This window comes from Homo sapiens, chromosome 7, assembly GCF_000001405.40.
Source record: "Homo sapiens chromosome 7, GRCh38.p14 Primary Assembly".
Classification (NCBI taxonomy): Eukaryota; Metazoa; Chordata; class Mammalia; order Primates; family Hominidae; genus Homo; species Homo sapiens.
Window position 1 is genome coordinate 98,199,277 of NC_000007.14, and position 23,491 is coordinate 98,222,767.

General features: G+C 53.7%; 3 protein-coding genes across 7 annotated transcripts in view, besides 3 other annotated features; 2 read left to right on the forward strand and 1 right to left on the reverse strand.

The window, feature by feature from the left end:
* Positions 1 to 10,362, forward strand: part of LMTK2 (lemur tyrosine kinase 2) — a 102,777-nt gene extending 92,415 nt beyond the window's left edge. For both annotated transcript variants that reach the window (NM_014916.4, XM_011515981.4), the window contains exons 12-14: positions 4,298 to 4,430; positions 4,668 to 4,910; positions 6,188 to 10,362. In NM_014916.4, coding sequence (NP_055731.2) covers positions 4,298 to 4,430; positions 4,668 to 4,910; positions 6,188 to 6,216 — 405 coding nt within the window. In that variant the 3' untranslated portion in view covers positions 6,217 to 10,362. The remainder of the gene's footprint in view (positions 1 to 4,297; positions 4,431 to 4,667; positions 4,911 to 6,187) is intronic.
* Positions 4,317 to 4,496: an enhancer, noted in NCBI's record as "active region_26305". NCBI's record gives its function as "activates an Ori minimal core promoter by ATAC-STARR-seq in GM12878 lymphoblastoid cells {active_cell/tissue: GM12878}" and the evidence as "EXISTENCE:reporter gene assay evidence [ECO:0000049][PMID:35858748]".
* Positions 12,035 to 12,224: a silencer, noted in NCBI's record as "silent region_18390". NCBI's record gives its function as "represses an Ori minimal core promoter by ATAC-STARR-seq in GM12878 lymphoblastoid cells {active_cell/tissue: GM12878}" and the evidence as "EXISTENCE:reporter gene assay evidence [ECO:0000049][PMID:35858748]".
* BHLHA15 (basic helix-loop-helix family member a15) lies at positions 12,163 to 16,181 on the forward strand. The gene is made up of 2 exons (NM_177455.4): positions 12,163 to 12,222; positions 12,980 to 16,181. Exon 2 carries the CDS (start codon positions 13,034 to 13,036, stop codon positions 13,601 to 13,603), a length of 570 nt encoding a protein of 189 aa, NP_803238.1. The 5' UTR covers positions 12,163 to 12,222; positions 12,980 to 13,033; the 3' UTR covers positions 13,604 to 16,181.
* Positions 15,348 to 23,491, reverse strand: part of TECPR1 (tectonin beta-propeller repeat containing 1) — a 37,609-nt gene continuing 29,465 nt past the window's right edge. For all 4 annotated transcript variants that reach the window (XM_047420119.1, XM_005250253.5, XM_017011937.2 and 1 more), the window contains 5 exons: positions 23,110 to 23,245; positions 22,385 to 22,477; positions 18,660 to 18,766; positions 18,416 to 18,535; positions 15,348 to 18,227 (listed from right to left, as the gene is read on the reverse strand). In XM_047420119.1, coding sequence (XP_047276075.1) covers positions 18,114 to 18,227; positions 18,416 to 18,535; positions 18,660 to 18,766; positions 22,385 to 22,477; positions 23,110 to 23,245 — 570 coding nt within the window. In that variant the 3' untranslated portion in view covers positions 15,348 to 18,113. The remainder of the gene's footprint in view (positions 18,228 to 18,415; positions 18,536 to 18,659; positions 18,767 to 22,384; positions 22,478 to 23,109; positions 23,246 to 23,491) is intronic.
* Positions 19,010 to 19,069: an enhancer, noted in NCBI's record as "active region_26306". NCBI's record gives its function as "activates an Ori minimal core promoter by ATAC-STARR-seq in GM12878 lymphoblastoid cells {active_cell/tissue: GM12878}" and the evidence as "EXISTENCE:reporter gene assay evidence [ECO:0000049][PMID:35858748]".

Here is a 23,491-nt window from a genome sequence, read left to right on the forward strand (position 1 = left end):
TTGTTCTATTACTCAGAGAGAGGTTGTTGAAGTCTCCAGCTGTGATTTTTAGATTTGTCTATTTCTCTTTTCATTTCTGTTTATTTTCGCTTCCTGTATTTTGCAGCTCTGTTGATGCATATACATTGAGGATGATGATGTCTTCTTGCTGAATTGACCTTTTTATCCTTTCGTAATGTCCTTCTGTATTCCTTTGCCTTATATTCATAGAGCTGCTCCAGCTTTCTTTCTTTTTTCGGAGACAGTCTCACTTTGTCACCCAGGCTGGAGTGCAGTGGTATGATTTTGGCTCACTGCAGCCTTGAGCTCCTGGGCTCAAGCAGTCCTCCTGCCTCAGCCCCACAAGTAACTGGGACTACGGGTGCACACCACCACACACAGCTAATTTTTGTATTTTTTGTAGAGATGGGGTTTCACCATGTTGGCCAGGCTGGTCTCGAACTCCTGAGCTCAAGCAATCCGCCCGCCTCGGTCTTCGAAAGTGTTGGGATTACAGGCGTGAGCCACCGCTCCTGGCCACGTTGTTTTGGTTAATGTTTGCGTGGTGTATCTTTTGCATCCTTTTACTTTTAATCTACCTGTATCATTATATTTGACATGAGTTTCTTGCAGATCTTATAGTTAGATGGGGTTTTTAAAACTCTGTTCTGAAAAATCTGCCTTTTAATGGTATGTTTAGATCATTTACCTTTAATAAAATTATTGATATTTTGGATTTACGTATACCATTTTATTTGTTCTATTTTTATTTCTATTCTTCCTCTTTTTAATAAATTGAACATTTTTAGTATTACATTTTTCTTTTTCTTTTTTTTTACACTGTTCTCTTTGCGTAGTTTTTGTAGTGGTTGTTCTGGGGGTTACAATGTATGTATTAAACTTCTCACAATCTACTTAGAATCTGTATTTGCATATTTCAGATGGAATGTGGAAACCCTACTGTCACTTAGGCCTTTTGCCCTCCGTCCCCTTCTTGACATGCTCTTCTATGTTGCATACATGTACACTGATAACTCCTCAGACAGTGCAACACATTTGACTTTCTGTCATCAAACACATTCTAAGAAACTCAAGAGGAAATGAATAGTATTATACAGTTGGCCCTGGAGCAACATGGGTTTGAACTGTGTGAGTGTACTTATAACATGGCTTCTTTTCAACCCAAAACAGATCGAAAGCACAGTATTCTCGGGATGTAGAACCTGTGTATAGATACGGAGGGCTGACTTTTTGTATATGTGGGTTCCGCAAGGCTAACCACAGGACTTAGTATGCACAGGTGTGGTTATGCACGGGTGGTCTTGTCACTGATCTCTGTTCAGATCGTTTCTGGAGTTGTCCCTTGGTTTCCAAGAAGTGGTGGTTCCATAATTTGGATACCATAATTAGAGGCTGCCCAAGTGCTTTATATGAAATGGCATCATATTTGCATATAACCTACACACATCCTCCTGCAGACTTTCAGTCATCTCTAGATTACTTATAATGCCTCATACACTGTAAATGCTATGAAAATAGTTGTTATACTGTATTATTTATTTTGTTGTTGTTGTTGTTGTTGTTATACTGTTATTTCTTATTTGTGGTTGTTTCTGAATGTTTTCTGTCCTGGTTGGTTGACTCTGAGGATGTGGAACTCTCTGATCTGGAGGGCCTCCTGTCCTTCTGTTCTTTTTCATTATTGATGTTCTAGGTTTCCTTCTGGAACCCTTTCCCTTCTAATTAAAGAAATTTAACTAGCTTTTCTTTTCTCTCTTTTTTTTAAAAACCCATTTTTTTGCAGGATTCCTTTTATTTTTAAATAAATTCTCTTAGTTTTTTTTTCCATCTAAGACTATTTCACACTCATTCCTGAAGCCTGTTTTCTCTGAGTGTAGAATTCTGTGTTGATAATTGTTTTCTTTCAGCATTTTAAAAATGTATCCCTTCCTTCCACCCTCCACGGTCTCTCATGAGAAATTTGCAGTCACTCAGATCATTCTTCTCCTAGAAGTACAAGTGGAGCGTCCCTTATCTGAAATGCTTAGGACCAGAAGCATTTTAAATTTCTGATTTTTTCAGATTTTGGAATATTTGCATTATACTCACCAGTTCAGCATCCCAAATCTGAAAATTTGAAATCCCAAGTGCTCCAGTGAACACTTTGGGCGTCATGTCAGCGCTCAAAAGGTTTTGGATTTTGGAGCATTTTGGATTTTTGGTTTTCCGATTTGGGATGCTCAAGCTGTAATACATGTTTTATCCCTGGCTGCTTTCAAATCTTTGTCTTTAGCTTTCAGCAGTTTGATTATGGTGCATCTGAGGGTGGATTTCTTCGTGTGTGTGTTTTGTTTTGTTTTGTTTTGTTTTGTTTGAGACAGAGTCTTGCTCTGTCACTAGCTGGAGTACAGTGGCACGATCATAGGTCACTGCACCCTTGAACTCCTGGGCTCCAGTGATCCTCCCTCCTCAGCCTCCTGAGTAGCTGGGGCTACAGGCGTGCACCACCACGCCTAGCTAATTTTTAAATTGTTTGTAGAGACAGCATCTCACTGTGTTGCCCAGGCTGGTTTTGAACTCCTGGCCTCAAGGGATCCTCCTGCTTCAGCCACCCAAAGTGCTGGGATCACAGTTGTGAGCCACCCCACCTGGCCCAATTTCTTTGTATTTATCCCGTTTTTGTTTTGCTAAACTTAAATCTGTAGTTTTGTATCTTTCACCAAATTTAAGAAGTTTTCAGGCATTCTTTTCTTCTAGTACTTTTTCTGCCCCACGCCCTGTCTCCTCTCTTCCTGGGACTCCAGGGTTAGACCCTGTGTATTCTCTCATAGGTTCTGAGGCTCTGGTCCTTTCTTCCTCCAGGTTTTTTTTTTCTTGCTCTTGTTTGGATTGGGTGATTTCTGTTGCTCTGTCTTCAAGGTCCCTGATGATTTCCTTCGTCATCTCCATTATGCTGTTGAGCCCATCCATTGAATTGCTAGATTTTGGTTATTATACTTTTCTTTTCTGAGTTTTGCTTTTTGTCATTCTTCTTATCATCTGTTCCTTTGCTAAGATTTTCCCTATTTCTGTTCATGGTAAGAGTGTTTCCCCTTAGTTGTAGGAGCATTTTTATAATAGTCCTTTTTCAGATAATTCCAACATCTGTGGTACGGTGACACTGGCACCTGTTGATTGTCTTTTCCCAGGTAAATTGAGGTGTTCCTGGTTTTTGTATGTGAAGTAATTTTAGCTTTTGGATCCTCCTATCATGTTAGGCAGTCTGTGCCATGTGTAAATGCTGTGAATCATGTTGATACTTTTACCTTAGCAGGCCTTGACCCGGTGGGTGCAGGCCACAAGCTCCAAGCAGCCTTCTGTGGGTTGTGGTTTCAGTGTCAGCTCCCAGTTCCCCTTTCAAAGCCTTCGCTGTGCTGTTTGAACCTGCCCCACGTGTGTGCCCCGCACCCCACCCCGGTCTCCCCTGAGGTTCATTTTCAAAGCTTGGGTGTGTTCAGAGTCAGATCTACCACACACAGCCCAGGAGCCCCCCAGCAACTTCATCGGGTCACCTTTTTGAGCTCCTCCCTCTTCTGTGATGTCCCTGATACTTGCAGTTCTTTGGGCCTCTGCTTTCTGGTCCCCTAGCTAGAAAGTTGAGGCTTTAGTTACACGATGTGCCATACTTCCTGCAATCGCACGCGCATCTGGAGCCAAGCAGTGGGAGGACAGAAGGGAAAAAAACTCAGCGAGGGTCCCCTCCCGCTCGTGATCACAGTCCTCCAGTGGAGAGGAGGCTTCATGGCCCTCAGGATTATAGGCAGCTGTTGCCCCAGGATTGCTTGAGACTGGAGAGCAAGAGAACAGAGAAAAGAAGAAAGCTGGAATTCCCCCTTCTCTTTCTGAGCATCAGAAGACCCCCTTCCTGCTCCGAAGCCAGAACCAAGGGCTTCTCCTGGAGCACTGTGTCCAGGGCAGTGCCCACTTTGGATTCCGGGCTGACCTGAGTCCAGGCGGGGGATTGTGGAGGAGAAGCCGACACACTTGTTGCTGGTGGGTGGCACCTTGAGCACTGCCGCTCGTGCCCGCCTGCCTGCTGCTCTGCGCTTCTCTGCAGCCTCAGAGGGCTGCTTCATGCCTCTGCCGAGGTCAGAGCTGCAGGCAGAGGGAGAGACAGGGCCTAGTGTCTGTCCGTCCTCCCAGGCCTGGAGCCGCCCTTGTCTTGAGACGCTTACTTCTCAGTCGATGAGTCTGATGCGCCTGCCAGTGGGGAAGCGGTCACACGGGGGGTTCCCGTGAGCAGGCCTTTGCTGACAGGAGTTTCTGTTTGACTTTTCAGGAGACCCCAACCAAAGAGCTGGGGCCCTGTGGAGGAGAGGCGTGCGGCCCGGACCTGAGCGGCCCAGCCCCAGCCTCAGGCTCTCCCTACCTGAGCAGGTGCATCAACTCCGAAAGCTCCACCGACGAAGAAGGTATTTCACGTCATTGTCTAGTTTTAAAGGAAACTGAAAAATTGAGTAATGTAAAGGTTTTTTGAGGGTAACTTCCCATGTTGCTTTAATGACGCCCCCTGACATGGGCACAGAACTGCCATCTGCCAGCCGGGCCGGGCTGTGTCTTCCGACCTGCAGGGCGCACCTGCCCAGAGGCTCCCCCTCTCCCTCATCACGCAGTGATAAAAAGGGTGGGGTTTTATTTTTTATTTCTAGGTGGTGGCTTTGAGTGGGATGATGACTTCTCCCCAGATCCTTTTATGTCAAAGACAACAAGTAACCTGCTCAGCTCCAAGCCTTCTCTCCAAACATCCAAGTACTTTTCTCCGCCGCCACCGGCCCGGAGCACGGAGCAGAGCTGGCCGCACTCGGCGCCTTACTCCCGGTTCTCCATCTCTCCCGCCAACATTGCCAGCTTTTCCCTCACACACCTGACCGACTCGGACATCGAGCAGGGCGGTGAGAGGCGCTGCGTGCTGGGGATTGGGAGTGCAGGGTCGGGGGTGGGGCGCTGCAGCTGGGAGATGGTGGTTTTGCAGGCCTGATAATCTCATGTCTTCTTCACATTTGCTGAGTAGATTACAAACTTGTTTTTATAAAACTCCCATCATCAGCTGGGTGCAGTGACTCCTGCCTGTAATCCCAGCTACTCAGGAGGCTGAGGTGGGAGGATCAGTTGAGCCTGGGAGTGTGAGACCAGCCTGGGCAACATAGTGAGACCCCATCTCTAAAAAAAATAAAAACTAAAAAATTAGCTGGATGTGGTGGTGTGCACCTGCACTTCAGCTACTCAGGAGGCTGAGGTGGGAGGAATGCTTGAGCCCAGGAGTTCAAGGCTACAGTGACCTATGATTGTGCCACTGCCCTCCAGCATGGGTGACAGAGCAAGACCCTGCCTCTAAAATAAATAAATAAAACTGCCAGCATCCTGAGTGTGCTCTCGGGGCCATGCCCCCTGCCTGTTGTGGTCACTCTCAGGCTCGTTACCGGCCACCCTGTGGGGCCAGGCTGAGGCAGAGGGGCTCTGGGTCCCAGGAACGCCCAGGCTGCGCGCCATCTCCTCTTTTTCTCCTGTGGCTGCATAGTCCCTCCTCCGCACTCTGTCTCCTCCTTTCCCAGAGAGAACCTGCTCTTCAGCAGGCTCGTAAGAGCACTTGACCCCTGGACTTGGGACCAGCCCACATGCCCTCTGGTGCTGCCCCTGGAATGTTGGTTTTGCTGCTGAGTCTTGGTCCTGGTGTGGCTCCCGAGGGCGGGGTGGGGTGAATGGGCAGGGGCCATTTGAAGTCGAGGTATCTGAACATAGGGAGCCTTCTTTCCCCGTCACTAGATTGAAAGATAAAGGTTAATAGGCTCATTTTTTGATTGGAAGTTTACAGATCAAATAATAAATATGGAATACAAAGAGGCTTTATTTCCCTCGGCGCTAGGCTTCATTTGTGCCGATTAGATAACACCTGCTATCTGCCAGTCTGTCGGGGCAGATGTGTGGATCCCAGCTGACTTCTTCTGCACCCTGACCCTTAGCGCCCAGCGGGCATTTGAGCCTAGCAGATGTGGGAGAGTCAGGCAGGGGCTGCTTCCGAAGGAAAGGACAGGAAGGGCGGCTCAGGCGGTGCTGGGCTCAAAACACCCGCTTCCGTTCCTGTGGTGCAGCGCACATGCCATCCACGCCATGCCTGTCTGATCATTTTAAAAACCCAGCTTTGTCGTCTCGCTTCCTCTCTCCTCAACAGGAAGCAGCGAAGACGGAGAAAAGGACTAGGTGGCTGCCAACGCGCACGCTCGGGTCCGAGGCTGCTCCCCTGGAGCGGCGCCCCTGCGCCCTCAGCCCGAGCAGCGACATCCACTCGCCATTTGCTGACATGAGATTGGGAGGAAGAATCCAGAGGTGAAGAGGGAGACGGCTCTTAGCTGCGTTCAAGGCGGGGCCCTCGGGAGCCCAGGTGCAGAGCGAGGCCGTGTCCAGGAGCCGGCGTCCCTCAGTGCCCCGTGCACCCGCGGCCGCGGCCTCCCAGGCAGTGCTCATGCGCTGGCCGTCGGGGGAGGCAGGGGCACAGCCTCCATGTGCGCGCGCGTGTGGAGCTGTGTGCACCGCATGTGTGCTTTCCACAGGGGCGTCTCTGCGTCCACGCCTGCACATCCCGGCGCACGTGTGGGCACCACAGAGGACACGTGAGGGGAATGGTCACCAGTGAGCCATATTTATTATTTCTAGAGAAATCACGAACTGCTTTCTGTAATTGCACTGTGGATAAATGTTCCGAGAGTCTCCATTGTTGTACAGGATCTTCAGTTATTCGAGGGGAATGAGGCAGGTCAAGCCGATGCTAGCCACTAGTTTGATTTTTTTTCTGTTTTATAGTTTGCGCTGCATGGTACTTGTGAAGCTTAAATATTTTGAGTGTTCTACTGTGTCTAGGATTGTTGGGATTGTACATATGGTACTCTTTCATAAATGATAAATGATTCTGAATGTTAGTGTTTTATGTTCATATAGGAAATATTTTCATTGAGTCCAAAATACCACTGTTTTGTTGATGGACTTGAATGCATTTTTGTCTCTTCTTGATGAAGCGGCTTTGCCGCAGCAAATGAGGCTTCTCTCTGAGGAGCTGAGAGGTCTTGCAGCCTCTCCTTGTCATTCTCCCACCCCACATCCCATTTTTTAAAGCCCTTTTGGTAAAAACCAACAGGTTGTGGCCGCAGACCTCAGATGGACCCGGCCCATCCCTGGGGACGTGCTGGCGTGGCAGGTCCAGAGAGCTGCACCCTGCACGGGGCACCGCACCGCTTCCCTCCGCGCAGCTCTTCTGCCTGGTTTTCGGAGGCCAGGCTGCTGGGAAGCTTCCGTGTTCCTGTCAGTCCTTCCTTCAAGAAGCCGGGGAACTCAGGCAGACTCATCTCCGCAGAGCATACCAGCCGTGGGGGACCGTTCGACTTGATGATGTGTGCACACTTCAGGTGGTGGGGACTTGAGCTTTAAAAAAACCTCCACAGCCGAATCTTCTCCTCCGAGCCACTCCACGTCACGTCCAGCTGGGCCTGGCCAGTCTGTGGTTATCCATGTGGGATGAGATAACACCACATCCTGCAGCTGTGAAGGGGGATGGACAAGGGACGACGGCCGACGGCAGAGCATCAGCAGCCGACACATAGTTCGGGTCGGGGCCTTGGGTGGTCCTGCATGGCCCGGGACTCATCTCACGGACCCTCCGTTCTGCATTAAGCCCCAGGTTCTCTTCTGGCTTTGAAAGGGCCCGAGTGCTCCCAGTGTAGCTTCGTCACATCGTCACGAGCCCCTGTGGTCATGGGCGACCTCACACCTCCCTCCCTGAGTTCTGCTCTGACATAAGGAAGTCCTCGGTGGCTGGTGCAGCGCGGCTGTGCTGTGCTGGGGAGGCAGCCGTTCCTTCGGGGGTCCTTGGGCCTGCAGTCCCCTCATACTCACCCTTCACCCAACATATTTTCCGGTGCTGATATGTTTCCAGACTCCAGCGCAACCTGGGGTGCTCTCCAGACCCGTGCAGGGGCCGCCTGGGGTACACGGAAGGAAGTTGAGTCCTAGTGCAAAATGCAGGCGGACGTTGCCAGAGAGTGCGCAGCAAATGACCTTCATTGCCAGTTCCACCCTACTCCTCTCATTTTTTATACTAAGCAATAACTTTCCAAAGCAAGAAGTTCAGGATGGAGAGAGTCCCCTCCTGTGTAGGCATGGGGTGGATGCGGTGCCCACCTGGGCTATGTGGGGAGCACCACTGTCTCGGGATGCGCGAATTTTTTTTTTTTTTTTAATTAACAGGGCATTAGAAGATGATTTTGCCAAAATTGTCATGACTCTGAATTCTTGCTGTGGGGACTTCCTGAGTTTTCTCAGTTTTTACATCTAAGATTAGTCTTGGCTGAAGAGAAATGAGACGTGATTATACTACTTTTTCAATTGCAGGTTTAAGGAGTTCAGATTTAATGACCAAAGTCATACAGATCATGGAATCTGTCGTCGTCTTATACAGTGTCAGCCTCGAGTACATTTATTAACCTTTTGGGGCTGTCAGTTTTCCACTAGGATTAAGATTTTGGCCGGGCGCGGTGGCTCACGCCTGCAATCCCAACACATTGGGGGGTCGAGGCGGACGGATCACTTTGAGCCCAGGAGTTCAAGACCAGCCTGGGCAACATGGCGAAACCTCGTCTCTACTAAAAATACAAAATATATATATATATATATATACTAGCTGGGGCACATAGTGGTGTGCACCTGTAGTCCCAGCTGCTTGGGAGGCTGAGGTGGGAGGATGGCTAGAGCCCAGGAGATGGGTGTTGCAGTGAGCTGAGACCATGCCACTGTACTCTAGCCTGGGTAACAGCCAGACCCTGTCTCAAAAAAAAAAACAATTTTTTTCATAACATAATTCCCATTTTTATTTATTTTGAGTCACTCATAATTAATTGCCAAAAAAGCATTTTATACATTGAGTTGGGGGGTAGTGGATCTTAGTGTGGTGTTGCATGGAGGGGCGAGATTTTATATTTATAATCAACACGTGGGTTAACATGTTTTTTTGAAATCCAAGCAATACACAGGAAATTTAAGTAGAATAAAAATTGCAGCCCATTTTTGAAATGTCAGCATGTGCTGTGTTCAGTTCAGGTTTTTGTTGTTTGTTTTGTTATTTTTTAACTAATAAGTTGGTTATCAGTGGTGGGTTTTCAAAATGTACTTGTTCTAATAAGTTGTACAATGAACTAAATCAGTGGCATTCTCTAGATAATGTGGGGGAAGGTTAGAATATTTTCTGGCCTTCTATGGGGTAGCAACCCAGAATCAATCTGAATTAGTCCTGTTTTGGTGGAGTTTGTACATTTTAAATCCTATAACAAAAATAATCTAGTTTTCATTTCCTTACTAGCTAGATGCGAATTTGTCTTTTTGAATGACCCTGTCAATAAGCCAGAAAGGGCAACCCAGAAAAAGTGCTCCCCACATCCTTCTGAGACTTGGCCTGTGTGTGTGGACGAGAAGCCATTCACCGTAAGGGTGCAGAAAGCTCGACCAAGCCGAATTGCAAACAACGTTCGTTCTATTTTTAAATGTACAGGTTCGATCGTTTCTATAGAAATGGGTTTATCTAAGAAAAGTCTTGGTTTGTCTTGCTGCTGTAAAAGGCCTTTCCAAACCCCTCCTTTTATTCCTGTTTCCCGAAATAAGGTATTTGTAGAGTTAAGGACCTACTGCATGCCTGTCCCCAGGGCCCCGGTGGAAGGAAGGCAGCGCCTGCTCTTCCTTAACTCAGCCCATCATCTGAAAATTCAGAAGTGAACCAAGGGTTAGACGCCAGAGGTTGGGCTTCTGTTAGAGTGGCTTCAAAACATGAGCCTTATGGGAAGTAGCCTTAAAAAAAGAATGGGTATACGCAGTGACTTCCGATGGAAATCTCCAAAACAATATTCCTAAGTAGCAATGGGGTTGGCTCAAGTCTTTATTAACAAAGAACATTCTCTTTCATCTATAAAGAAATTCTTAAAGATGCATTGACAGTGTTGAATTACCAACAGCCTGTGAAGATCAGTTTGACCGGTGTGGACACGTGCTGGTTAAGCACTCAGGCCTACGTGGGCCGAGCGGGATCTTGATCATGGGGCTGGTGTATGGATCCACCGTCGGATTCCGTCTGCAGAGGAGGACGTAGGGGGCCGTCACACCCACCAGGCCTCCCTGCTGTGCTTTAACACAGGCAGAAGAGGTTCATGGCAATATAATAGTCAATGAACTTTCAGTTTAAATTGTGTACATTTTTAAATTGTAAGATTTTTACTGTATATTGATGCATAGTGTGATTCAATAAATTGCTTGTAATTTAAAAACTATTTAATATTCAAAATAAATATAGTTATATATTTATAAACTCTGTTGGCCGCGTTTCTTCTGTGTTTTGTCCACCGTGCAAGGGCCACCTGGGTGGGTGGCCTGGCCCTGCCCTGCTGTGAGCGCCCGCAGCCTGTGTTCCAGGCCCCTGCCCTGGTCCCTCTGGAGCTTGTGTGACAGACCTAAACTCCCCGCACTCCTGAGGACATAAAGCTTTGTATAACCACTGGAAAACCAAACCTGTTTAGTGTTCCTGCCACCTTGAAGCATGTCTATAAACCATGCCTTTGCACTCATGAATTTCGGAAGCATTTTCATTTCCAAGGACCTCATTTGGCCCAGCCTCAAATGAGCTTTAGGCCAAGAGAAGAACTAACTAACCTTGGCTCCAAGCTAGCCTTTCTGTGCCCGCCCCCCGCCCCACTATGGCCCCTCTGAGTTCCCACCCAGAGGTACTGAGACAGAGCGGCGAGACCCATGAGTGTGGAGCCCAGGCCTGCCAGCCAGCGTGACACTCACCGCACCCCCAGCAGCGTGCAGTCACCGCACCCCTAGCAGCCCCGAATAGTCCCTGAGCAAGATGCTGCTTTGGCTGGGCGTGGTGGCTCACGCATGTAATCCCAGCACTTTGGGATGCCGAGGCGGGTGGATCACTTGAGGTCAGGAGTTGAAGACCAGCCTGGCCAACGTGGAGAAACCCCGTCTCTACTAAAAATACAAAAATTAGCTGGGCGTGGTGGTGCATGCCTGTAATCCCAGCTACTCGGGAGGCTGAGGCAGGAGAATCGCTTGAACCCGGGAGGCGGAGGTTGCGGTGAGCCGAGATCATCTCGCTCCATTGCACGCCAGCCTGGGCAGCAAGAGCGAAACTCCGTCTCAAAAACAAACAAACAAACAAAACAGGCGTTCCCAAGGACTGCACACCTGCCCAAGGAGCCCCCCACCCCCACCCCAACTCGGGCTCCGCCCCCAGCCCGTAGGAGCCCCAGGTTCCCCTAAACATCCCGGGCGGCGGGGCGGGGGATCCCCTGGGAGATGCCCGCGTTTTCGCGGAGCGGCTCGTCCCGGAGTGCTCCTGGGACTTGGGATCTGTGTGCTGAGCCTGAATCGGGGCTGCCCCTCCTTCCGGCGGCTCCCAGAGACCTGTTTCCCATTGGCGGAATGGGCCCGGGCCCCGCCACGAGTGGAGAGGCCGGGCAAGGAGGATCGCGGGAGGCATGGATGCGGGGGTGCTGTGTCAGGGGGAGGGTCGGGGAAAGCGGGCGGGGGGAGGCTGTCTCGGGCACGGATATGGGGTAGGCGGGTGGGAAAGGCGCGAGTGGAAATTGAGGGGGAGGATGGGGAAAAGCAGGTTGTGGGGAGGCTGTCGGGGGACGGGAGTAGGGGAGGTGGGGACGCAGGCTGTCTTGGGGGGGCTGTAGCGGGAGAATGGGGAGAGACGAATGGGGGGAAGCTATCTCGGGGCGGTTGGGGGGCTGTCGGGGGAGGATGGGGAGAAGCGTGTGGGGGAGGCTGTCTGGGGGAACGAGGGTCGGGGGCTGTCGGGGGATGGTGGGGAGAGGCGGGCGGGGGTGGCTGTCTTGGGGGACGAGGGTGGGGGGCAGTAGGGGGAGGATGGGGAGAGGCGGGCGGGGGAGGTTTTCTATCTTGGGGGCGGGGCGGAAGCTGGGGGCGGGGCTGCGCGGCCACCTGGTCCGGGAGCCCCAGGCGCCGGCCTCCCGCCCGCCCGCCCGCAGGTGCCGCCACTGCTGCCCAGCGCCCGCCGGGACACCCGGACCCCGGCCCCGCCCCGGCCCCGCCCCGAGGGCTCATTTGCATGCGTCCGCGGCCCCTCCCGGGGCGGCTAAAGCGACGTGTCCTTGTCCCCCGTGGGCAGCCTCGGCGCGTGTGGCCGCGGATCCCCAGGTAACCCGGGAGCTGGGAACTCGGGTGGGGCCGCGGGGAGGGGACCCAGGGGCAGGACCTGGCGGTGGGGTTGTGGGGGTTGTGGGGGCTGTGGGGAAACCCGGGTGGGGGACTTCTGGTCTGTCTGGAGGCTCCACGGGGCCCATCCACGTGGTGGGATTGGGGGCTGCCGCCAGGCCCTGGCCATTGCCGACCTCTGACCTCCACGGCTGCCCCATGTCCGCAGCGGTTCTGGCCCCAGTGCTGTCCCATGTCCGCAGCGGTTCTGGCCCCAGTGCTGTCCCTGCACGTGTCACGTCCAGCGGGGCAGGACAGTGAGAGCCTGGTGGCTGGAGTCACTGCCCGCCCACGGGATGAAGTCAGTGCCGCCTCCGGCAGAGGCGCCCCCTAAGCTAGGGTGGGGGACGCATTCTAGGCAAAGTGTCAAAGGTCACCGAGCTCAGGAGGCACTCTGGGGGCAGTGAGGGGCATGAGCCAGAGGAAGATCTAGGGGTCAGGATGAGTCATCCTGGGGGAAGGGGGACGCAGGGACAGGGACAGATTCCAGAGGTCTGTTTGAGGTAAAGCAAGGGCGTGGGTGTGTGTGGGGTCAGCCCAGGGCTAAGCGTGTGAACAGAAGGACCTCCAGTCGCAGAGCGCCAACCCCTGCCCCTGGTACCATTGCTGTCAGCAAGGAGGAGGCTGCCAGGGACGGCACCCCAGCGGGTCCCCTGCCCATGTGGGGTGACCACAGAGTGTCCTGTGTTCTGGATTTCAGCTCCAAGGGCCTCACCTTCCTGCCGCCACCTCCTAGGACAGCCAGTCCAGGGCCATGAAGACCAAGAACCGGCCCCCACGGCGCCGGGCCCCGGTGCAGGACACAGAGGCCACCCCCGGGGAGGGGACGCCCGACGGGTCCCTGCCGAACCCGGGGCCAGAGCCGGCCAAGGGTCTGCGGAGCCGGCCGGCCCGGGCCGCAGCAAGGGCTCCGGGCGAGGGCAGGCGCAGGCGGCCAGGACCCTCCGGGCCCGGTGGCCGTCGTGACAGCAGCATCCAGCGGCGGCTGGAGAGCAACGAGAGGGAGCGGCAGCGGATGCACAAGCTAAATAACGCCTTCCAGGCCCTGCGTGAAGTCATCCCCCACGTGCGCGCGGACAAGAAGCTCTCCAAGATCGAGACGCTCACGCTGGCCAAGAACTACATCAAATCGCTGACGGCCACCATCCTGACCATGTCCAGCAGCCGCCTCCCAGGCCTGGAGGGGCCGGGCCCCAAGCTCTACCAGCACTACCAGCAGCAGCAGCAGGTGGCTGGGGGTGCGTTGGGGGCCACGGAGGCCCAGCCCCAGGGCCACCTGCAGAGGTACTCCACGCAGATCCACAGCTTCCGAGAGGGCACCTAGCGCCCAGTCCTGGGTGGGGGTGGCGGTGGCCGCAGCTGCCTGGCCTGCTCCTCCCAGCCCCAGTCCCTCCAAGCCACGAGCCCCAGATGGGCGGTGACACCCCACAAGGACACGGCCTCAGCGGTTCCATTTTCCCCCGAACATTCAGCCACTTCCCTGGAGCAATTTTTCCTGCCCCGCTGGGGACCAGCGAGTGGCCTAGTTGCGGCTGTGGCCCTGGACAGCGGCGTGAGGCCCAAACCTCTAGGTAGGGCCCAGTTGGATCCTGATTTTTCATTGAGCCAGGCAGTCTCAGCCCGAGTTGAAAGGCCTCCTTAGCCTTGGAACTAACGTCTCTTCACCCTGACTTCTGGGCAAGGGGAGATCCCAGGAAAAGGTTTACCTGCAGGTTTTCCAAGGCCAAAGCCCCAGCAAGGACCCCCTCTCCAACCTTTGTTATAGGGCTACATGGGGCCTGGGCTCAGCATCCTCATTTGGGGTAAACTGAGGCCCGGGACAAGCCCGGCAGAGCCTAAGGCTGCTCGGGGAGTGGGGCCAATCAGAGATGATTGGAGCTGCCAGAAACTCTAATCAGATGACCTCCAATTCATCCTTAAAAGTTGAATGGTGGGGAGGGGCTGGAGTCTCTTCCTCCCTCCTCCCAAGTTGGGGCTCCTGGATGTGTTGACTCCAGGCTGTGCCTGGTTGTGGAGGGTCTGGGGCAGGGTGTGAGGGGTGCTGTGGAACTGGAGCAGGAGACAGGGCTGGGTGTTCCTGGTGCAGCCCTTCTGGGCATGGGAGAGAAGCCCCAAGGCCCTGGGTTGCTCCCCAAGAGCAGCTCTGAGGCCTCCTGCTCAGCCCTGGCCTGTGTGGGGAGCGAGTGTGCCCCCCACCCAGCCCCTGCCACCGCCGTTACTTATTCTCACTGATGTGGGGTTATCATATAATTGGCACCATGCTGTCTGTAGGACATTATGACGTGCTTGGGTTCTGGTTTGAGTTGGCAGCCCGTTGGGTCTCTCTGCCTGGTGGAGCCTTGGGGTGGCAGGTACGTCCCTTCCCCCGCCCAGGTGCTTCATCCTCATGGCCAGGCCTGGTGGCTTGGCACGTCTCTGCTGCCCCAAGCCCAGCTTCCTTCTGCTGGGCGTTCCTGCCCCACTGGCTCTGCCGGACTTGGCTACTGGACTCTCCCCTCCCTCATGCCTCTGCCCAGAGATGTCCCAAAGGCCCTCAGGGCCAAGCCGGGCCAGGGATGTGGCTGCCACAGCTGAGACCAAGGGCTCTGGCTGGCCCGTCCCCACCAGGTGGCCCTGCCCTCCCCAAGTTGGGGGTTGTGGCACTTGGGGTCAGGCCTAGCCACGTAAGGACACAGGTAACACCCTGAGGATCTGGCATTGGCAGCTTCAGGCCTAACTTTCCTGGTCAGGGCCCCTTAAGGTGGCCCGGGCACATTGGTTTCATTTCGATGAGACTTTGTCAGAGGCCTGGTCTGGTCCTGGCCCTACCGCCCCAGCTGTCCTTCAGCACAGCTCGGGGTGGGGACTCCAGGATGCTGGGTCTGCCCCTTGGGAGGGGCACTCTGGAAGGTCAGGGTGATCCACAACTGTGAGCTGAGGTTGGATGCAGCTGGGAGCTTGGGACAGAGAGAGCCCAGGGCTCCCCTGCTGTGGGGCACCTGCCCAGCGGGGACATGAGATGACAGAGACCTCCCCGGCGGGGGTACTCAGGTGCTACGAACATGGCAGCTCTTGTTTCCGGCTGAGCCATGGCCAGAGCAGGGCTCAGTCTGCCCCTGAACTTGCTGAATGGACCGACGAGCTGAGCCTGAAAGCCCAGAAGAGCCTCGGTCCAGAAGACGGAGACTCGGCCCGGTGTCCAGCGCAGCCCAGGGCTTCCTGGGGGGCAGCAGGAGTGCCTGGGGGTCACCGCCTTCAGGACAATGGCCTCAGTGGCTCTTTCTTTCTGCCCTGAACTGGCACCTGCACCTCCTCTGCTTCCTAGAGGGTGACCTGGGCCGAGCCGCCCAGTCCTTCTTCCCCTGAGGCCAGAGGGGACGCCCCGCGGCCACATCACACAGGATCCTCAGCAGCCATAGTCTCGCTTCAGGGTGTCCAGTGTTTCGAGGAGGAGAGGGGACAGGGGCCAGGTCCACTCCCTTGGCCCTCCTCTTGGACCCCAAGGCCAGGCCGGATCCTTTTATCCCGTGGGGAGCCCCTGCCTCGGCCATCGGGATGAGGTCCCTCAAGTCCCTGCACAAGCAGGTCAGAGACCCACCCACATGCCGTTCCTGGGCTACGCCACGCGCCATCCCCCGGGGCTGTGGACGCACCCAGCCCCCGACAGACAGGCGCCCTGAGAGCTCCGAAGGCGCGATCCCCATCCCCACCAGTGGAGAAGCCAGAACCGCGATTGTTGCATCTGGGAAAACCCAGCTGGAGCCGAACGGCCCGTGCCCCCACTGTAATTGTGCTGAAAATGTTTCTCAAATGACCCAAATTGGCTCTTATTTTTTCTAATGGCCCTTTCAAAGTATTCATGAAATTGATGCTGTGTCATAAAACAAAAATAAAAGATTTCACAGCAATGTCTGCTTCAGGCACACGGGGAACCACGCGTTTTAATCAACGTATCGATAAAAAACACCAGGGCACGGACACTCCAGGGGAAATGCTTATTGAGTAAAGTATCCGAGGAAGTGATGCAGGGCAGGTAAACAGCTGGTGCTCAGCAGCGAGAGGACGCGTCACTCTGCCGTTCTGCAGGGTGACGCCCTCCCCGTACCTCGCTGAGAGCCACCTGCAGACACAGCAGGCCACAGCAGAATGCACAGGTCACTGTTGTAGGGGAACAAATCGTAATGCCCAGAGAAAACCTGATAGTGAAATGTAAACAGACAGGACAGGGTGGTTCCAGGTGGCCACCACCGCCAGGCCCTTCCCGTGATTGATCTGAGAGCTTCACAGCCGGCGGCACTGGGACCCATTTCCAGAAACACTGGAACACCAGGTCTCTCAGATGCCCGCGGGAGGGGCCCCAGGGAGGCCTTTCTCAGCATCAGCTTTTGGGTGACAAACCCCATACAGCAAAACTGTACAAATACACACAACGGACCCCCAGCTGACAGTGAGACCAGGACCCTAGGAAGGTCAGGTGGTGGTGAAGTCATCCCCTCTCCAACCGAGCAGAGCCTGGGGTTGGGCTCTGATGACCTCCCGGGCAAAGTGTCCAGGTGGAGGAAGCAAACTCCCAAATGGGGCACAGAGGTAATAAAAAGCAGCTGAGAGACTGCGGGATGGGGTCGGGGCCACTTGGCCGACACCTTCTGCCTCGCCTGGCCGGGCCGGGCCAGCCTCTCGCCACAGGATGGAGGGTGACTGTGCACCCTGCTCCATGTACAGGACGGGCTGAGGGTCCCATGGCCACTGCCGACAGACACAGTAGTACTGCTCCCCACAGAAGCCCGCAGTCTGCACCCTCCTACAACATGATTTGACATCCAAGAAGCCCCTGTCACCAGCGCATCTGGGGAAGGGGCCGAATGGGGGTTGATGATGGTGACTGCACACACGGACACTGCCTCCAGCCATGGGGCAGCCTCTCATCCTCTCCCAGCCTCCCGTCTGGTACCCCGGCCCCCTCAGGGAAGAGGACATCCCATCCACTCCAGTGTTATTTCCAATCTGCTGTCTCCTTCCTTCACTTTTTTTTTTTTTTTTTTTTGAGATGGAGTCTCTGTCGCCCAGGCTGGAGTGCAGTGGCATGATCTCGGCTCACTGCAGCCTCCGCCTCCCGGGTTCAAACGATTCTCCTGCCTCAGCCTCCCGAGTAGCTGGGATTACAGGCACCCACCACCATGCCCAGCTAATTTTTTTTTTTTTGTATTTTTAGCAGAGATGGGGTTTCACCATGTTGGCCCGTCTGGTTTGAAACTCTTGACCTAGGTGATCTGCCCACCTCAGCCTCCCAAAGTGCTGGGATTACAGGCGTGAGCCACGGCGCCTGGCCTCCTTCCTTCACTTTTGAAATTAAAGCCTCTTTGCAAGTCCTGCTCTGAGAAATGGTCACTGCACATGGTAAAGAGGCCCTGAGCCCCATGGCCATCTCTCTTGGTGAGGGGTGGCGGGCCCGGGTGCTGTCTGAGATGCCAGCTCAGGAGGGCTCCATCCTGGCTCTGCTGCCCCAGGGCCGGCGTTCCCGGAGGGCTCCAGGTTCCCGGTTCTAGTCCTGGAAAGGCAGAAGGGAGAGGGGAAGGGAAGGGTGGGAGGGGCCTCTGGGAGGTGCAGCCCCACCCCATGCCCCACACCCCGGGACTCCTCGCAGACGGGGACACGTGTGGGAGTGTCCGCGGAGCTTCACATTTCAGGGCCGTCTCAGCCAGTGCCTCTGAAGTGGCCGCAGCCTTGGGGCCAGGTTCCCTCCTGAGTCCACCTGGGCCACATTGCTCCCACGGTGCACACTCCAGCACAAGAATGGCTCAGCCTTGATCCCCCAAACTGGGCACCGTCCCTGCATGTAGGTGTGTGGGGGGGCCTCAGCAGCAGACGGGGCCATGGGCCTCTGGTGGGGCACTCGGCTCCTGCTCCTGGGACGAGCTCCGGGGGGCCCTGGTGGCATTGGCCCGGACAGAGATATGGTCCCAGCCTCCCTGGAAGGAGAGAGCTGTGTCACCAGGGGACTCGGGGACTCGAGGATCCTGGAGGGGATCTGCCTGGGGGCCTCCCTGCAACCCAGACACCGGGTCCCAGGGGACAGTCCCACAGTGGTCGTCCCGTCTTCAGCACCCAGTGCAGGCACAAGGTGATAACACAGCCCAAGGCCGCGGGCCCCGCTCACCCCGATGCCGTAGTCCCAGCCGTGGCCCTTGGGCTCGTGAGGCTGCACGCCGGTGCGATGACACACTGTCCCCCGGCTCAGGCTGTGGCTGCCCTGCACTTTGTTGGCGATCACCCAGACCTGGAGCACAGACCCCATGAAGCCCTCAGCCCTACCTGCAGTGGGACGGCTGGGCATGGGATGGGGGAGACCAGAGAGGGAACCAGAGCACCCCAAGTGCCCGATACCCCCTGAGCACCCCCACCTGGTCCAGGGGCCCCACGGACACTCGGCACACGTTGTTGGACACGTGCTCCCAGCTGGAGCCCTGCGGGTAGCTGGGCGTGATCCCTTGGCGATACCACAGGTTTCCTGGGGAGAAAAGCAGTGAGGGTCAAAGGGGAAGACCTTCCCGGCCCCTCCTGCCCGTGCGGCCCGGCAGCCGGTGGCCAGGCCCCGCTCTAACCACTTCGGGGTTTGGGAAGCTGCTGGGGAGGCAGGAGGGTCCTGGCCCCTGAGTCAGGGCCACAGCCTCCTCCGCTTCTCCACACTCAGGAGCCTGGGCTGCAGCCAGCTCCGCCTTCTGCACACTCGGGGCGTCCCCCGAGCCTCATAATCGCCCTATTGTGCTGGGCACGGCCGGCCTCCTGATCCTCTTTCTGCTGAGGCAGAAACTATGGACAAGGGAAGTCCTAGCCAGAGCAATCAGGCAAGAGAAAGAAAGAAAGGGCATCCAAATCGAAAAAGAGGAAGTCACGGTGTGTCTGTTTGCCCATGATAGGATCAAATACCTAGAAAACCCTAAAGACGCCTCCAAAAGACTCCTAGATTTGACATATGAGTTCAGGAAAGTCTCAGGTTACAAAATCAATGCACACAAATTAGTAGCACTGCTACATGCCAGCAGCAACCAGGCTGAGAATCAAATTAACCCCTTTTACAACAGCTGCAAAAAATAACATAAAATACCTGGGAATGTACTTAACCAAGGAGGTGAAAGATCTCTATAAGGAGAACTACAAAACACTGCTGAAAGAAATCATAGATGACAGAAACAAATGGAAATACATCCCATATTCATGGATTGATGAGTATGGGATGAATCAGTGGAAGAATCAATATCATGAAAATGATCATACTGCCCAAAGCAATCTACAGATTCAATGCAATTCCTATTAAAATACTGTCATCATTTTTTACAGAATTAGAAAAAAAAATCCTAAAATTAATATGGAACCCACAAAGAGCCTCAATGCCCAAAGCAATTCTAACCAAAAAGAACAAATCTGGAGGCATCACATTACTGGACTTCAAATTATACTACAAGCCTACAGTAACAAAAACAGCATGGTGCTGCTATAAAAATAGACACATAGACCAGTGGAACAGAAGAGAGAACCAAGAAATAAAGCCAGATACCCACAACCAATTGATCTTTGAGAAAGCATACAAAAGCATAAACTGGGGAAAGGACACTTTATACAATAAATGGTGCTGGGTAAACTGGATAGTCGCATGTAGAATAATGAAACTGGATCCGTATCTCTCACCATATTAAAAAAACAACTCAAGATGAATCAAACACTTACATCTAGACCTAAAACCATACAAATTCTATAAAAAAAACCTAGGAAAAACTATTCAAGGGCTTTGCCTGGGCAAAGGATTTCTGACTAAGATTCCAAAAGCAAATGCAACAAAAACAAAAATAAAGGAGCCCTAATTAAACTAAAAAGTTTCTGCAGAGCAAAAGAAATAATCATCAGAGTAAACAGAAAACCCACAGGATAGGAGGAAATATTTGCAAACTATGCAACTGACAAAGGACTCATAACCAGAATCTAGAAGGACTCAAACAAATCAGCACACACACAAAAAACAAAAAACCAATAATCCCATCCAAAAGTGGCCAAATGACATGAATAGACATTTCTCAAAAGAAGATATGCGGCTGGGCGCGGTGGCTCATGCCTTTAATCCCAGCACTTTGGGAGGCCAAGGCAGGCGGATCACCTGAGGTTGAGAGTTCGAGACCAGCCTGACCAACACAGAGAAACCCCATCTCTACTAAAAATACAAAATTAGCCGGGTGTGTTGGTGCATGGCTGTAATCCCAGCTACTCGGGAGGCTGAGGTAGGAGAATCGCTTGAACCTGGGAGGCAGAGGTTGCAGTGAGCCGAGATCGCACCACTGCACTCCAGCCTGGGCAACAAGAGCAGAACTCCATCTCAAATTAAAAAAAAAGAAGATATACAAATGACCAACAAACATGAAAAAATGCTCAACACCACTAATCATCTGAGAAATGCAAATCCAAACCACACTGAGATATTAATACCACTTTATTTCTGCAAGACTGGCCATTATTATAAAGTCAAAAAACAACACAGCCAGGCGCGGTGGCTCATGCCTGTAATCCCAGCACTTAGGGAGGCGGAGGTGGGCGGATCACCTGAGGTCAGGAGTTCGAGACCAGCCTGCCCAACATGGCGAAACCCCATCTCTACTAAAAATACAAAAAAATTAGCCAGGCATGATGGCAGGGACCTGTAATCCCAGCTACTTGGGAGGCTGAGACAGAAGAATCGCTTGAACCTGGGAGGCGGAGGTTGCAGTAAGCCGAGATCATGTCACTGTACTCTAGCCTGGGCAACAAGAATGAAATTCCGTCTCAAAAACAAAAAAAAAATTTTTTAACGGTACATTTTACTTTATTTATTTTTATTTTTATTTTATTTTTTGAGACAGAGTCTTGCTCTGTCACCCAGGCTGGAGTGCAGTGGCATGCCTTGGCTCACTGCAATCAATATCCTCCTCCTCCCAGGTTCAAGCGATTCTCCTGCCTCAGCCTCCTGAGTAGCTGGGATTATAGGTGCGCACTACCACATCTGGCTTTTTTTTTTTTGAGACGGAGTCTCGCTCTGTCACCCAGGCTGGAGTGCAGTGACGCAATCTCGGCTCACTGCAAGCTCCGCCTCTGGGGTTCACGCCATTCTCCTGCCTCAGCCTCCCGATTAGCTTGGACTACAGGCACCCGCCACCACGCCCAGCTAATTTTTTGTATTTTTAGTAGAGACAGGGTTTCACTGTTAGCCAGGATGGTCTCGATTTCCTGACCTTGTGATCCGCCTGCTCCGGCCTCCCAAAGTGCTGGGATTACAGGTGTGAGCCACCGCGCTTGGCCTAATTTTTGTGTTTTTAGTAGAGATGGGTTTCACTAAGTTGGCCAGGCTGGTCTCAAACTCCTGATCTCAAGTGATCCGCCCACCTCAGCCTCCCAAAGTGCTGGAATTATAGGCATGAGCCACTGTGCCTGGCTAATGGTACATTTTAAAATAACTGAAAGAGGGCCAGGCGCGGTAGCTCACACCTGTAATCCCAGCACTTTGGGAGGCCGAGGTGGGCAGGTCACTTGAGGTCAGGAGTTTGAGACCAGCCTGGCCAATATGGTGAAACCCCGCCTCTACTAAAAATATAAAAATTAGCCAGGTGTGGTGGTGCGTGTCTGTAATCCCAGCTACTTGGGAGGCTGAGGCAGGAGAATCGCTTGAACTCAGTAGGTGGAGGTTGCAGTGAGCCGAGATTGCACCACTGCACTCTAGCCTGGGAGACAAGAGCGAAACTCCATCTCAAAGAAAAAATAATAACAATAATAACTAAAAGAGTAGAATTGGATTGTTTGTAACATAAAGGCTTGAGGAGGTGGATACTCCCTTTACCCTGATGTGATATTATGCATGCATGCCTGTATCAAAACATCTCATGTACCCCATAAATATACACACCCACTCTGTACCCATAAAAATTAAAGTTTTTTTTTTTTTTGAGATAGAGTCTCACTGTGTCATGCAGACCATGTTGGCCAGGCTGGTCTCGAACTCCTGATCTCAGGTGATCCGCTGGCCTCGGCCTCCCAAAGTGCTGAGATTACAGGTGTGAGCCACCATGCCCAGCCAAAACATTAAAAATTTAAAAAAAGAGCAACTTGCCATTCTCATCCAGGGCATACACCGACGTCTGCCCCGCGGACACCTGCTTCAGCCTCTGTCTCGGTGGGGACGGGATGTGGTACCAGCAGTCACCTGCGAAGGGGAGGCTGACTCAGGCACGCTGCCTTCTCCTCCTTGCATGGGCCAGGTGGGGCTGTGGGCCTCGGTCCCCAGCTGCCTCTCGGATGTGTAGCCTGGTGTCAGCTGTGTGCCACACAGAGCTGACACGTGCCCTGCCGTCCACCCAGCACTGTGCCTGGGGTCTCTGGAAGCCATGGCGGGCTCCGATGGACTCATCTTGCCAGCGCAACACAAAGGCTTCCTGTGCAGCTCATGGTGGAGACCCAGCCTCAGGGGCTGCCCTGCTAACCCATCCCTGTGCAGAGGGCAGCTGAGTACCAGCGTCCCCGTGTTGGACACTGGACATCTGGAGAAGAACAAGCCAGCACAGCCCGTCCTCCCGGGCAGCCACCAGATTGGTCACTGTGGAGTGGACCCTGCAGGGCCGAGACACAGGGGCCACCCCAGGAAGGGCCAGGCAGGCCTGGCTCCAGCTGCCCCATTACCAGGGTGACCACCTCCCAGTCAGTCCCAGTGGGAGGGGGACTCCCACTTCTGGGGGAAGTCCCAGCTTCTGGGGGACCCTGGCCCAGAGGGGATGTTCAGCAAACATCAGCTTGGACGGAAGGTGAACACTGCAGGGGCTCCTGGGGCGCGGCACTCACCGGCTGGCTGCGAGGGGTACACGGATCCCCGGTAGAAGGCGGAGCCGTCCCTTGCCACGGCCCACACCTGGTAGCAGGCCCCGATGGAGATGGAGGCGAAGGGCTGGTCGGTGCCAACGTGCAGCCAGGAGGAGCCCTGGGGATAGCAAGGAGGGGCGCTGAGGTCACCAGGGCCCCCACCCCCAGGGCCCCACCTCCAGGACCAGCAGAAATGGGCCTAGCGCGTGGGCAGCATAGGTGGCTGGGGGACAGCCGGGAGTCACACAGCCCCACCCGGCCTGATCTCGGTGCTTGTTGAAATCCTGGGCGCATCTCATCCTCCTGCGAGCAGGGAAAGCGCCCCCGTGGGCGTGTGCACCTCACCGGGGTGCTGACCACCAAG